A 15,664-nucleotide genomic window follows, 5' to 3' on the forward strand; every position below is an offset into this window, starting at 1 on the left:
ACTTTTTTCCTCCGTACTCTTTCCCAAATTATACCTATCTTCCAACTTTACTATAAAGTCTTTGAGGTCAGGAATTTGGTCTTGTATATTCTTTCTATAGCAATAAAGGAAGAGGACATGCTAGGCACTCCGTACTTGTTAATCAAGGGGCTTAATCTGCTTAGTACACGGAACAAAGATGTCAGCAATCAGAATTTTAAAGAGTCTACACAATCAATAGAGAACACAATCAAAGAGAGTAAGTTATGTTGGGGGCAGGGGTGTTCTGAAAACCCCCCAAAATTTTGGTTGTTTCACTCTTCTGTCAATAGGCTAACAGAAAGCCAACATTCACTGGATTATCTATAATTTGTTAGACAGTCCTTAACTTCTGTCTTTATTCTGAAATAATTTTAAACTTACATAAAGCTGCAAGAATGAAAATAATTTTTTCCTTGAATCACTTTATAGTAAATTGCTGACTAGTTTATTACTCTAGTATACTTCCTACAAGCAAAGACAATATTCTTAAAATAATTACAATACAACTATCAAGATCAGGAAATTAACACTCATACATTACTATCTCTACCTGATCTAAAAAATCCATTCAAATCTTCTCAATTGTCTCAATAATTGTTTGGACTTATCAGAAAATCCCCTTACATGACATGTTCTCCATTGACTGTGCAGGCTCTTTAAAATTCTGACTGCCAACACCGTCACTGTTCTTACAGATAATGCAATTATGCCTATTAATGAAGAATTGCATTTAGTTGGCATATCTCTTTATTCTTCCTCAATCTGGAACAATCTTAAAGCTGTTCTTTAACATTCATGATCTTGACATTTCTGAAGGTATAATGCCAATAATGAGGGAGAACAGCCCCTCAGTTTGGGTTTATCTTCTGTTTCCTCATATGAATTTAATCAATAAATTACATTCAAGTTATGCACCTTTGGCAGGAATATCACAAAAGTAATGCTGTGTTCTTATTGCAGCCTATCAAGTAACATAATTTCAGTTTGCCCCATTATCAATAATGTTAATTTAGACCCCTTGACTAAGGTGGCGTCTGCCAGATTTCTCTACTACAAAGATACTCTTTCTCTCTTTGTAACAAATTAAATATTTTGAGGATAAGTATTTTAAAATTAGTATTAGCATCCTCTTTTTTTTTTAATTTTCTTTTTTTGATTCAGATGGGAGTCTCACTATGTCACCCAGGATGGCTGGAGTACAGTGGGCAGCACAATCATAGCTCATTGCAGGCTCCACATCCTGGGCTCAAGCGATCCTCCTGCTTCAGCCTCCTGAACAGGTGGGACTATTGGGCTTTTTTTTTTTTTGGAGGGATGGGGTCTCATTATGTTGCCCAGGTTGATCTCAAACTCTTGGCCTCAAGCAGTCCTCCCACCTCAGCCTCCCAAAGTGTTGGGATTACAGGTGTGAGCCACTGTGCCCAGACTAATGTTAGCATCCTTTGATGTTCCTTAGCTGAATTAAATATTACTATGATGATTCTCAAATGGTAATTTTTCTAATTCTATCATTCAGCAAATTATTGCATCAAAAAGCTTTCTTTTCTACCCATTTATTAATTCACTTATTTATATCAGTTTGCACTCATGGATTTTCATTTTATTCAGGTGACTATCATCTATTACTATCATTATTTACTTTGAAGTTCAAACTGCCCAGGCAGGAGTCCTTGCAAGCTGACTCTGTGTCCTTTGAAATATGTTCCCATCATTCTTTCAGCACTTCTTTACTTTCTGGCACAATAATATGTTCCAAGCTCATCTTATACTTTCTCTCCTCCCGCCCTAGAATTGGCCACTGCTCTGAGCTCTGGGTCCTTTCAGTGCATAACTGTATTTAGAAAATAAGACCTAGCTTCTAAGTGTGCTAATTACTAAGGAGTGGCAATGTTTCCAGGTCCTCTCAGTGGACATAGCTAGAGAATATGTACACACAAACACGCATGCACACATCCACATTTACATCTATATCTATTTCTAGGTCTATCAATACATTTTAAAAACCATGAGTTCACACCAGTACCTCCAATTCCATTCTACCACCACAAACTTTTCTTCCTTTTCACATAGGTAACTCCCTTTTCCGGCAGTGAGAATCCTGTGTCCCTTTATCATCAACATATGTACTCACAGGCATACCTTACTTTATTGCACTTTGCTTTACTGCACTTCACATATATTGTGTTTTCTTATAAATAGAAGGTTTTAGCAACCCCGAGACAAGCAACTCTATCAGTGCCATTTTTCTTTTTTCTGAAAAATCTTTATTGCTTCTGCTGATTACACAACAAATGTAAAAATTCAAATATTACACTTTTTTAAAAAAAAGTACATTATAACATGTCATTAAATAAATGCCCATTTCAAAAAAATTCAAGTATCATAAAATACATGATTTAGAAAATGAGTCCTCTGTAATCCAGTCCCACCCCCATGTCCCCCAGGATTACTGCTGTTCAGATCAGCGTTTCCTTCCAGATTGTCTCTGCGCACTCACCACCTGCACTGCTGACATGAGCTCCATATTATCTGAGATGATAGTAACTCTGATAAATGGAGCAGGAGCAGGGTTCAGCTGCCAGTGCACTGAACAGCTTCCAGTTTCTACACAGAAACACTTTCTTCATAAAAGCTTGAAACTACAACATCCTTTTGCACTATGTAAATGTATCAAGTTGAATCATGAAATTAACGATCGCTCACCATTTTTGGCCTAGAAAAACGGCAGTTTCATGTGGTTCGACATAATAGCTATGGCCCTATTCATAGACATTGGGAGGTTTCCTACTTTTTGCCATTATAAACAATTCAGCAGGCCAGGTGCGGTGGCTCACGCTTGTAATCCCAGCACTTTGGGTGGCCAAAGCAGGCAGATCACTTGAGGTCAGGAGTTCAAGACCAGCCTGGCCAACATGGCAAAACCTCATCTCTGCTAAAAATACAAAAATTAGTCAGCCATGGTGGCGGACACCTGTAATCCCAGCTACTTGGTAGGCTGAGGCAGGAGAATCACTTGAACCCAGGAGGCAGAGGTCGCAGTGAGCCGAGATCGCGCCACTGCACTCCAGCCAGGAGACACAGTGAGACCCTGTCTCAAAAAAAAAAAAGAAAAAAATTCAGCAGTGAATGTCCTTTTATGTTCTTTATGGAGTACAAACATCTTACCCCCAAAGCATGACACCTCTCTTTTGGGCATTTAGAACAGTCAAGAAGGATGGAGCTGCCCATTTGCCATGGAAATGGAGAGCCAGCAGACAGCTGATGCATAAACAACTTGTCCCTCAAACAAGAGTGGCTAACTTCAGCCATGACACCGTTTTAGTATGGTGACCACACCACATGAGCAAACCAAATACTGGTAAAACCAGAGAACAGAAGAATTCCTCAGCTCAGGACAATTCTTATCCCTACTGACGACTCACAAGACATCCAGTGAGTACCCCAAAGTTGTCCTCTGGAAGTTGGGCTGTCAGAAGGTACAAAAAATGATTCAGGCCAGGCACGGAGGCCCACGCCTGTAATCCCAGCACTTTGGTAGGCCGAGGCAGGTGGATCACCTGAGGTCAGGAGTTCGAGACCAGGCCGACCAACATGGCGAAACCCTGTCTCTACTAAAAATACAAAAATTAGCCAGGCATGGTGGCACATACCTGTAATCCTAGCTACTTGGGAGGTTGAGGCAGGAGAATCACTTGAACCCGGGAGGCGGAGGTTGCAGTGAGCCAGGATCACACTACTACACTCCAGCCTGGGCAACGAAAGTGAAACTCCACCTACAAAAAACAAACAAACAAACAATGATTCAGAAATGTACTGAAATCAGATTTGCCGGAAATATTTTTTAAGGTTTTTTCCAGGAGCTACTGGAGTGACCAAAAAAAAAAAAAGGCACCTGTTAAAATTATGCCCACGACAGGCCTCGAACAAAGACGAGAATATGGTGTGTATATGTCACTGGCGCTTTCACACAGGCCACTTCCTCTTCAACCTTGTCTGGGGTTTGTAGATTCTGTTCAGGTCATAGCTGGTTTTGTGGGTGGTTTTCTTATGGCAGACAACACTAATTTTAGGTTCTCTGAGGTAGAAAGCAGGCCATAAAAATATTCCCAGTCCACTTCTCTTCCATCTTGTTCTTTAACTGCTTCCACCAGTGTAGGAATGATGGTGCGTTTTTGTTTCCACTATGTGATCCAGGTTCCAGGTCCAGAAGAGGAGCCTGCTCTCCCTGTTACTGTAGGGGTTGATGGAGTATCTTGACAAGCAGCCGTCCATGTCGAAGGGACCCTGGCAGGAGAACTAGCCTTCCGGTGTGCAGAGACGGCTGCCACCCTTGGCTCCTCTGTTGTATAGCTGCCGTCGTACTGCACAGACTGGAGCTTCTGGCACATGGAGCGGAGGACCCGCAGGAATTCCTCCTGAGCCTCTGCACCCACCATGGAGGAGCAGGAGCTCACCTCTCTCAGGTAACTCCGGATCCGGCTTTCACAGCTGTATCTCAGATAGCCAGACTTATTCCAAAATCGGGACTCCAAGCCTTCAAACCACAGCGGGTCCTCAGCCCGGGTGTCGGCTGCGACGTTCTGGCTGACGTTGTACAGGAGGTCGGCCAGCAGTCTCTGCCTCTGTGGGGGCCTGCTCATCACACAGTAGCTGCCGGGCGGCCTGGATGAGCCACGCGTGCGGCTGGCGAAAAGCACTGAGGAAGCACCCGATGTCACTCACATAGCCCTGCCAGGCCTGGCGTGAGGTGAGCAGCACCAGCTCGGCATCGTCGAGGACGCTTCGGTCAGCTCCATGCCATCCTCGTACGAGGGAGCTAGAAGCAGAGGTAGCCCTTGCGCAGCATCTCCCGGCAGCTCCTGCCCGCCATGCCAAACTTCCTCGGGCTGCACAGGGCCCGCAGCTTCACAGTCTTGTGCTTCTGGAGCACTGCAGATGTACTCAACGCCTCTGGGCCCCGCAGGCAGTGGCACCCGCTGGCCAGCTGCTCAAGCTGGTCCAGGCCCCAGTCACAGGGCTCTACACCAGGTGTGCTCTGCAAAACTGGCATGGGCCGGGAACCGATCCCAGAAACTCAGTGCCATTTTGCTAACAGCATGTGTTCACTTCACGTCTCTGTGCCATATTTTGGTAATTCTCCCAATATTTCAAACTTTTTCAGATGGAGTCTCGCTCTGTCACCCAGGCAGTGGTGCGATCTTGGCTCACTGCAACCTCCTTCTCCCAGGTTCAAGGGATTCTCCTGCCTCAGCCTCCCCAGTAGCTGGGACTACAGACGTGCACCAAGCCCGGCTAATTTTTGTATTTTAGTAGAGATGGGGTTTCACCATGTTGGCCAGGCTGATCTTGAACTCCTCACCTCAGCTGATTTGCCCACCTCAGCCTCCCAAAGTGCTGGGATTACAGGTGTGAGCCACCATGCCTGGCCTCAAACTTTGTCACTATTGTTATATTAATATTTGTTATGGTAATCTGCACTCAGTGATTTTTGATGTTACTACTACAAATTTTAGGGGCAACACAAATCACACCCATATAAGATAGTGAATTTAATAAGTAAATGTTGTGTGTTGTGACTGTTCCACCAACTGGCCATTCCCCACCTCTCTCCCTCTCCTTGGACTGTCCTATTCCCTGAGACACAACAATACTGAAATTAGGCCAATTTAATAACACTACAATGACCTCTAACTGTTCAAATAAAAGAAAGAGCTGCATGTTTCTCACTTCATATCAAAAGCTACTTGGTAGGCTGAGGCAGGAGAATTGCTTGAACCTGGGAGGCGGAGGTTGCAGTGAGTCGAGATGGCACCACCGCACTCCAGCCTGAGTGACACAGCAAGACCTTGTCTCAAAAAGAAAAAAAAAAGATAGTGATTCCTCTGATGGATCTAGGCAAAGAAAATGGAAAATCTTCTGGGAAAGAATTTACTATCCTATATGCCATTAAGAAGATTTGTGATTAACAGGAGGAGGTCAAAGTATCAACATGAACAAGAGTTTGGAAGAAGTTGATTTCAACTCTCGTGGATGACTTTGAGGGGTTCAGGAATTCGGTGCAGGAAGGAACTCGATGTAGTGGATATAGCAAAAGAACTAGAATTAGAAGTGGAGCCTGACCATGTGACTGAAGTGCCTCCATCACATGATAAAGCTTGATAGATGAGAAGGTGCTCCTTTTGGATGAGCAAACAAAGTGGTTTCTTGAGATGGAATCTGCTCCTGGTGAAGATGCTATGAACATTGTTGAAATGACAACAAAGAATTTCGAATATTACATAATCTTAGTTGATAAAGCAGCGGCATGGTTTGAAAGGCCTGACTCCAATTTTGAAAGTTATACTGTGGGTAAAATGCTATGCTATCAAACAGCATCTCATGCTACAGAGATATCTTTCGTGAAAATAAAAGTCAATCGATGTGGCAAACCTCAGTGTTGTCTCATATACATATATATATATGTATATATGTACATATACTTATATATGTATATACGTATGTATATATATGTGTATGTATATGTGTGTGTGTGTGCATATATATATATATATATTTTTTTTTTTTTTTTTTTTGAGATGGAGTCTTGCTCTGTTGCCCAGGATGGAGTGCAGTGGTGCAATCTCAGCTCACTGCAACCTCCGCCTCCCGGGTTCAAGCGATTCTCCTGCCTCAGCCTCCCGAGTAGCTGGGATTACAGGCACCCACTACTACTCCCAGCTAATTTTTGTATTTTTAGTAGAGACAGGGTCTCACCATCTTGGCCAGGGTGGTCTTGAACTCCTGACCTCGTGATCCACCTGCCTTGGCCTCCCAAAGTGGTAGGATTACAGGCGTGGGACACCGCGCCCCGCCTGCTATCTTATATTAAGAAATTGCCACAGCCACTCCAGCCTGCAACAACCATCACCCTGATCAGTCAGCAGTTATCAACATGGAAGCAAGACCTTCCATTAGCAAAAAGATCATACATAGTCACTAAGGCTCAAATGATCATTAGCATTTTTTAGCAATGAAGTTTTTGTTTTTTTCTTTTTCTTTTTTGAGACGGAGTCTCACTCTGTCGCCAGGCTGGAGTGCAGTGGCACGATCTCAGCTCACTGCAACCTCCACCTCCCAGGTTCAAGTGATTCTTCTGCCTCAACCTCCCGAATAGCTGGGACTACAGGCGCCCGCCACCATGCCCAGCTCATTTTTTTTATTTTTAGTAGAGGTGGGGTTTCACCATGTTGGCCAGGATGGTCTCGATCTCTTGACCTCGTGATCCACCCGCCTCAACCTCCCAAAGTGCTGGGATTACAGGCATGAGCCACCGTGCCCGGCCTGTTTTTTCTTTTTAAGGCAGCATATCAACCTGGCACCTAGGCCAGAGTGCAGTGGCACAATCACAGTTTATTGCAGCCTCGAAATCCTGGGCTCAAGCAATCCTCCCATCTCAGCCTCTTGAGTAGCTGGGATTATAGGTGTGGACCACTACATCCAGCTATTTTTTTTTCTTTTTTTTTGGAAACATGGAGTCTCACTATGTTGCCCAAGCCGGTCGAACTTCTGGCCTCAAGCAATCTTCCTACCTTGGCCTCTCAAAGTGCTAGGGCTACAGGTGGGAGCCACCACACATGGCCCAGCAATAAAGTATTTTTAAATTAAAGCATATACATCGTTCTTTTACACTGCTATTACACACTTATACCACAGCACAGTGTAAACATAACTTTTATATGCACTAGGAAGCCAAAAAATTTGTGTAACTCGTTTTGGTGGTCTAGAACCAAAGAATACTTTTGGAACTGCATTGTTCTACAACCAATTCTGAAATATCTCTGAGGTATGCCTGTATTTGGCCAATCTCCCTATATATAACCCATCTCCTGTCACCACAACCACATCCCAGCATTAATACCTGCCTCACCTCATTCAGGTTCTGACATCTTGCTCTGAGTTACCACTTGCCTCACTGCCTCATACCATCCTTCTTCCAGATGTCCTCCTCCCTCTGCTCAGGTACCAATATCCTATACTAGGCTGTTGCCACTGTTGCTCCCCAAACAGATGTGCTCACCCTCCTCCCCTGCAACCCACTGAGGATCTAACACCCCTCTCTTGGTATACGAATGCCCTCCTCACTCTTTTGTGCTCCAACACTTCAGGCTACGCAGTCACCACTGCTCCCTCTGCCACGCCACTTCCCAAAATGCATGCCCTTCTCATTCTGCCTGGGATCCAACACCCTGCACCAGACCAAGCCTTTAAAATACCACAACTGGCTCAGTTCCATCAGCCCATGCAAGATCTGTATCAGTGAAAAAGTGCAGGCATCTGGACATCCTGAGTTCTAAATAAATAAAAATTGTGAAGAATCAGATAAAATGAAGGGAACAGAAATTGGGTGATGACAAAGATATGCTTTGTCTATTTTGAATTTTTACCTTATACGAGATACAGGTTTTTAAAAAGGAGCAGAATTGTTTTCTCCCTTCCTATTCATGACTCCAAATTTACCCTAGTATTATTAGGTCACTACATTCTTATCACTTAAATACTAATTTCTATGAGGAAATCCATTTCAAGTTGTAAACTAGTGACAATATTTTTTAAAAACTATACCCAATTATGTAACTTTCATTAAACCTTTTACCTAAGAGAATTCAAAGTACTTCAAAATCTGTTTATAAGTGGCAGATTATTTCCACTAAGTAGGGTAAGATAGCCACAAAGAAAGTAATTTTGGACAATATTAAAAATGAATTCTGAAAAGGACATACTTACAGAAACATGATACTTCATGTAATAATGAATAATCCAGACAGGTACAAGTACATGAGTGAAAACAAAGATACTCTTTTTGTATACCCCATGGACCTGGGGGGAAAAACACATACACAAAATAAACATATCCCATTTTTTATATTTATGGCAGAACAAAAGGCATCAATGATGTAACAATGCCATGACTATTTTACAAAACTCTAAATGGCACATATTTTCTTATAGTCTGTAGGTAACCTCATCTACTCAAATATTCTTAGTAAATGCAGAGTCTGCTAGAAGATACCTACAAAGTCCAGACCAAAATGCTTAAGCAGTATTTTGCAAGACTATAACAAGGCATTTATAGATTTTTTAAAGACTTCCAAAAATATCCTTATTATAAGTTTGTTAAAGATAAAATATAGCAAAATAATGAAAGAATAATTTTAATGTATTTAACCAGAGTAATCAAACCTACAGAATTTTTCAGGTATAGTCATCTCCCTTATTTATTGATCAATGACACTCACATCATTTTAGGTATAAGGCAGACAACCTTGACAACGCCAATGCTGGAAAAAGGACGTTTTACATACTAAGATGGGGTGTCCCAAACTCACTCCAAAATGCCCTCTGCAACACTATTTTAAAAAAGAACTAAAAATGGAACTTTCCCATGTCTTCCAACTTGATTAAAAAACACCTATCCATTCAAGGAAGGGACAATCCAGAATCTAAGAATTATAACAGATATGATTATAAAAGAATAAATTAAAGTAAGGTAAGGTGAACTTCGACACATTATTATTTATTTACTTCCTTATATCACTTGCTGATGGATGGGATGTCAACTTTAAATCAGTGACTGCCAATATTCCGATAATGTCAGGGATACAAAGGGTGGGAGAAGAGTTGAATTTTACCACCATAAATAAGTATCCAATATCACTTTCTCAGAAAAATTTTCAACAATTCTATTGCACTAGACTTTGTAGCACAGTAAGAATCAGATACATGTTGATTACAATATGAACTCATATTCAATTCCTAGCTCCCTGACCACCAGCAAATCACTGAAGCTTTGTAGGCCTCAGTTTCTTCACATTTAAAATGAGGATTAGGAATATCTACCTTACAGGAATAAAGAAATGAAGTAACACATGTAAAACCCCCAGTAGAGTGCCAAGCACACAGCAAGCACCCGTGTGTTACGTAGTATTGTTACTACTATTATCCTGTCATCAGTAAGTGTTGCAGGTAACTGAAAGCAATTCTGAGATGTTTATCATCCATAACAGTCCTCAAGAAAATACCCAGAGGCCTTGAAAATAAAGTTCTTGAATGAGTGATTTTCTTCAAAGCCCAAAATGCGATTTTTTTAATGAAACACTGTGTTAAAAGTACAGAACGGTAGTTTAGAAAGGTAGCTCTTGAATGTGACTCACAAGGCATACCAACAGGACCCTGTCTTTTACGGGGATCACATGGGGCTGTACTATCAGCTAGGGGCTGGCTGTGCCCTCTGGTGGTTGGATACTGTGTTACTTGGTCTCTAGAACCTCACACTTAAAAGTCAGACAAGTGTCCTCAAATACTTAAATCACAGAATTTTAATTCTAGCGAGTCCTTGGTTATTATTCTGAGGGAAGATTTCTACAGTCAAAAGAGAACCAAACGTGCAGCGTCCTGGAAAACCTAAGTATTAAAATTCGCCCCCGTCCACTGTACTTGACAGTAAAAGGCATGATTCTCTCAAAGCCATACATATTCCTGGACTCCTGCCTCCCGAGACTCCAGGAGGACTCTCGGGACTGGCCAGTGTCCCAGAGCACTGAGCGTTATCAGTCCTTGGTGTGGCTGCAGGGAGCGGACGTTCAGTGTTCAGGCTGCCGGCAGCAGTGGGATGTGTTGGGGGGGACCGGAGAGGTCTGTCACTCACCATTTTCCTCCAAGGGGATTTATTCTCCAAAAATTTATTCCAGAATTTCTCCATAGGCCCCATCTTCTGTGGGGGCAGCACCGGCTCCCGAGGGCTCAGCTCCTGGTCCTTCAGCCATCGCCTTCTCAGCTCTCGCAGCTGCTGCAGCCGCAGTTTCTCATCCGGAGTGTACCCCGTCATGTCGCCGCTGGTACCAACGCAAAAGGACACGGCGCACCCTCGAACTACGGACTAGTTACTTAAGCGCGCTCCCGCTCTGCAAAGCGACCTTGCGGGAACGCCGAGCGCCGCGCGCGGTTATTACGTCACATCCTGGTTCCGCCTCTGCAAGGGCCCCAGATTCCTCGCGAGGAAAGCAGTGTGTGGGCATGCACAAAGGTCTCCACCTCCAGTTCTCTCTACGCCCACCTCCGCTATACCCGACCAAATTAGGACCGGGTGGGGACAAGGAGTACTCGTAGTTGTGGGGCCTGAGGAAAGTGACAGATTAGACGAAAGTATGCTAAATTAGAGGACTGGAGGTTTTGCTAAGGAAGAACTTGTATGCTGGGAGGAGGAAGGATAAGCATAAATGTTTCAGTGAATATGCTGGCCAGATTCAAAATTATTTGCTTGCCTCTCCCACCTTGGAATGACCTAGAGAGTGTATGAAAATAGTTACATCCCAGTTCAAATCCCAGCTATGCCAGTAACTGCTGAAGTGCCCTGGGCAGCTGTCTCATCTGTCCCTCCATCTGTACAGGAATAGTGAAAAGAGTAGCTTAATATCTAGCAAAATTGCATAGATGAATTCATGCTTTCACCCAAAAATACGTGTGGTGAAAATATGAAAGAGCATGCACGACTATTCAGCACGATTCATAATACCAAAATATTGGAAATTACCCCCAAATTCCTAAATAAAGGACTGCTTGAATAAATTGTAGTACAACAGTCAAAAGACAGCATTACAACGAATTAGTTTAAAAATCTTAATTGACTCTTATTCGTGATTCTAGAATCAAAAAACACCTCATTCTATAAAGTAGAATGAGTGTTCTGATCAGCTGAGCAGAGGCGGTTGGTTTTATTGGCAAATAGGGGCTGAAGAAAGCAGAAACCGAACAAAAAGTGGACTCATCGTTTCAAAGTTACTTTTAGGGTTAAAGCAGAAGAAACTTCCTTGTTTCACTGACTCAGACTTAAGGGAATTTCCTATTTTTTGGGAAACTGGCCCATTTCAAAGTTCAGTTTGATTGTGTGGTACTTAGCACAAACGACTCCATTCTGGTTTGGTCTGGTCTGCTGGGGCCTAGTGCGTGAAGCTAGTCCAAAACAGTGGCTTCCCAAAAACTTTCACACAACAAAGCAATGAAATGCTAATACAATCGTCAAAAGTAATAAGGAAGAACTCTATATACATCTGTGGTGTGATCTCCAGAATACATTACAAAGTGGAAAAAAAATGGATAGGAATTTGTACAGTATGCTTTTACCCAAAAAGAGAAAGATGGTGGTAATTTCAATATATATACATATTTTCTTAAATTTTCAAAATAATGGGAATGAAAACAATTGAGGTTTTTAAAGATGCTACCTATGGTGGAGGAAATAAATAGGATAGAGGAGACAGGGATAGAATCTAGACATCTCTGGAAACATCTTACTTCATAAATTTGACTTTAGAACCAAGTAAATATTTCATATTGTGAAATTAAATTTAGCTTAAAGATGTCTCCGTATTTTGAGTCCTTATATAATGAACTGCAACCCAACTTAGTATGCAATTTAACTCACAGCCTAACTTAGGAATATACTTCTGTAACAAATAACTGAGTCTCAGCCAATCATCACAGGTGGTCAACTGATCAGCCCATGTTCAAATAAGGCAAAGGCCAACCTGTAGCCAATCAAGCTGTTTCTGTATCTCATTTCTGTTTTTTTTCTATGCGTGCTGCCTGGCCTCTTTGTGGAACGATACTTTCTGAACCTCCTCTGGTTCTGAGGGCTGCCTGATTCTCAAATTGGTCATTGCTCAATTAATTTCTGCTAAATTTAATTTTTCTAAAGTTTTAATTTTAACAATATCATTACAAAACAAAATTAAATTTACAAAAAGCAGTCCATAAAAATCAAGTAAAAACCAGTAGCTCTTAATTGGTCCACTTGGTGGCATAATCTCAAAGGTACACATCATTCTAAATACAATAGCCCTTGTAACAACGCTAGGGTTAGTAGTGCCAATCCCCTCCACTTGGCACAATCAAACATCCACATATAACTTTGGACTCTCCAAAAACTTAATAGCCTACTCTTGACCAGAAGTTTTACTGATAACATACAGTCAATTAACACACATTTTGTATATGTATTATATGCTATATTATTACAATAAAGTAAGCCAGAGAAAATAAACTGTTATTAAGAAAATCATAAGGAGGCAAAGAGAGGGGTTGGTCTTGCTGTCTTGGGGTGCCAGAGGCAGAAGAAAATCCACGTATGATGGACCCTCGAAGTTCAACCTGTTTTTTTCAAGGATCAACTATAACTTTAAACCATTGAATTATTGTAAATCCACTGAGAGACAACCCGCAAAAACAAACAAAAAAAAAACAACTTAAAAAAAATCTTGGCCAGGCGTGGTGGCTCACGCCTGTAATCCCAGCACTTTGGGAGGCCAAGGCGGGTGGATCACAAGGTCAGGAGATCGAGACCTTCCTAGCTAACACAGTGAAACCCCGTCTCTACTAAAAATACAAAAATTAGCCAGGTGTGGTGGCAGGCGCCTGTAGTCCTAGCTACTCGGGAGGCTGAGGCAGGAGAATGGCATGAACCTGGGAGGCGGAGCTTGCAGTGAGCCGAGATCGCGCCACTGCACTCCAGCCTGGGTGACAGAGAGAGGCTCCGTCTCAAAAAAAAAAAAAAAAAATCTTAAACTGTTTTAAATAATCATATTGAGGATAGTGGTGTTGATCATGGTATTGTTAATCTGACACTGAAAATAACTGTTTACGTGAGTGTTGTAAAAACTGATCTTTTTTGGTATGGGGAGACATGTATATAAATTGTATGTGTTTAAGTAAAAATCCTATAGTCAAATTGTGAACAGGAAGAATCAGTATGAACTCATATTGTATTTTATCTTTAAAAATGTATATAATTTTGTCTTAGCTCTACCTGTTGATAATGGCCTAAAAGAAATTGGCAAACCAATAATCATGAGCATCTTTTGTTCTTAGGTTGTGATCTCTCATGTACATTTTCCACTGAAAGGAACTAGGACTGCTTGAAGCAGCAGTTCTCAAAAGTTTTGCTTCCAAGACTTCTTCAAATTCTTAAAAATTGTTGGAGATCCCAAAGAGCTTTTGTTTATGTGGGTTAATCTATTGATGTTTACTGCATTAGAAATTAAACATTTTAAAGTAACAATGTACTCATTAAAAAATTAGTGAGAAGAGTGCCATTGTTTTACATTTTTGTAAATGTCTTTAATGTCTTGCTTCATAAATGACAGCAGAATTGTTATAACTGCTTCTGCATTCAATCATAATGTAACACATCGTATAGCCTCTGAAAATCCCCATGTATATTTGTGAGAGAATGAGACTTTATAAGGGTAAAATAAAAAGGGCAAACAGTCAGTCATCTGTATCTGTGGGTTCCACAATTACATATTCAGCCAACCACAGATAGAAACTATTCAGGAAAAAAAACAATAAAAAGTAATATGAATTTTAAACAATACAGCCTAACAACTATTGACAGAGTATTGACATTGTATTAGGTATTATAAGTAATTGTAACTGAAACACAGGTTTAGTCACTCAACACTTGCAGAGTCCAGTTAACAAGAGCGAGGTCTGGTATAAAGAAAGTGACTTTGTATTCCAAAGCTAGCTTAGGGGAAGAAGTATGGGCTTCCAGCCTCAAAGGTACTGCTCCACTTTTGGAGCAGAAAGTGGGTACTTTCGAAAGGCAGGGGAGACAGCAAGTGGGTAGGAAGTCCACATGCTAGCTTGGCACCTTATCTACTAGGCAGTCAAGTTGGCATCTTCATGGGCAGAAATAAGTTATTAAAATGGCCAAAAACTTTCCCGGTGGGAAAGAGTTTCTCATCATGTATACTTTGGGTTGTAAATCGACTGTTACCTCTTGAGGCAATCTCCTGGTGGGTGAGAGTTTGTTCTGGAGCTTCTGAGTACAAAGTTAGATGAACTTGCCCTGTAGGGAGTGTCTGGTGAAGGGGAGGTAAAGGTTATAATTGCATTTCAAACGGGCTAGTAGGAAGTGGAGAATAGCAAGAAACAGAAGAGAAAAGAAGAAAACTAATAAAAAAAATAACTCATTCTCTTTTTCTTAGAAAAATGGGGATACTCAGTTACATAACCTAGAGATGATTTAAAGTATATGTGAGGATGTGCATAGGTTATATGCAAATACTACCCCATTTTATATGAGGGTGCTAAACCAAACTAAAATCTGGCCCGAGAAAGTCTCCATACTTGCATACTGGAGTTCTTACTTAGGAATTGCAACCTAACTTAATAGATAAGCAAACTGAAAAATCTAATGGAGACATACTTCTGTAACAATAGCTGCATCTCAGTCAATCACTGCAGCCATACTTCAGCCACTCACAGGTGGCCAACTGTCCAAACCAGGTCTAAATAAGGCAAACGCCAAGCTGTAACCAATCTGGCTGTTTCTGTACCTCACTTCTGTTGTGTTTTTTTTTTTTTTTGTATTTCAGTTTCCTTTTTCTATTCTTAAAATCTCTCCAACTGTGCAGAAATAACTCTCTGAATTTGCTGTGATTCTGAGGGCCCAATTTGCGAATTGCTTTTTCCTTGATCAATTAAACTTTGTTAAATTTAATTTGTCTACAGTTTTTCTTTTATCAAGGGAGATGAGCATCTGTGGATTTGGGTATCTGAGAGGGGTCCTGGGACCCTCAGTATCCTTGGGGACATGGATACTGAG

General features: G+C 41.5%; 2 protein-coding genes and 1 pseudogene across 5 annotated transcripts in view, besides 2 other annotated features; 1 reads left to right on the forward strand and 2 right to left on the reverse strand.

Moving 5' to 3' along the window:
• The window catches only part of SMIM27 (small integral membrane protein 27), a 15,717-nt gene extending 11,032 nt beyond the window's left edge, over positions 1-4,685 (forward strand). Inside the window, exons 2-3 of one of the 2 annotated variants that reach the window (NR_146061.1) lie at positions 3,222-3,453; positions 4,216-4,685. The gene's annotated coding sequence lies outside the window, so the exon portion shown is untranslated. The remainder of the gene's footprint in view (positions 1-3,221; positions 3,454-4,215) is intronic. The other variant, NR_146063.1, reaches the window with a different exon arrangement.
• The window catches only part of NDUFB6 (NADH:ubiquinone oxidoreductase subunit B6), a 20,159-nt gene extending 9,175 nt beyond the window's left edge, over positions 1-10,984 (reverse strand). For 2 of the 3 annotated variants that reach the window (NM_182739.3, NM_002493.5), the window contains exons 1-2: positions 10,706-10,984; positions 8,785-8,877 (exon numbers count right to left, since the gene is read on the reverse strand). In NM_182739.3, the coding sequence (NP_877416.1) occupies positions 8,785-8,877; positions 10,706-10,885 (273 nt within the window). In that variant the 5' untranslated portion in view covers positions 10,886-10,984. The remainder of the gene's footprint in view (positions 1-8,784; positions 8,878-10,705) is intronic. The other variant, NM_001199987.2, reaches the window with a different exon arrangement.
• On the reverse strand, positions 3,906-5,079 carry DFFBP1 (DNA fragmentation factor subunit beta pseudogene 1; annotated as a pseudogene).
• Positions 10,532-11,071: an enhancer, noted in NCBI's record as "active region_28265". NCBI's record gives its function as "activates an Ori minimal core promoter by ATAC-STARR-seq in GM12878 lymphoblastoid cells {active_cell/tissue: GM12878}" and the evidence as "EXISTENCE:reporter gene assay evidence [ECO:0000049][PMID:35858748]".
• Positions 11,342-11,391: an enhancer, noted in NCBI's record as "active region_28266". NCBI's record gives its function as "activates an Ori minimal core promoter by ATAC-STARR-seq in GM12878 lymphoblastoid cells {active_cell/tissue: GM12878}" and the evidence as "EXISTENCE:reporter gene assay evidence [ECO:0000049][PMID:35858748]".

The sequence above is a fragment of the Homo sapiens genome, chromosome 9 (assembly GCF_000001405.40).
Source record: "Homo sapiens chromosome 9, GRCh38.p14 Primary Assembly".
Lineage (NCBI taxonomy): Eukaryota > Metazoa > Chordata > Mammalia > Primates > Hominidae > Homo > Homo sapiens.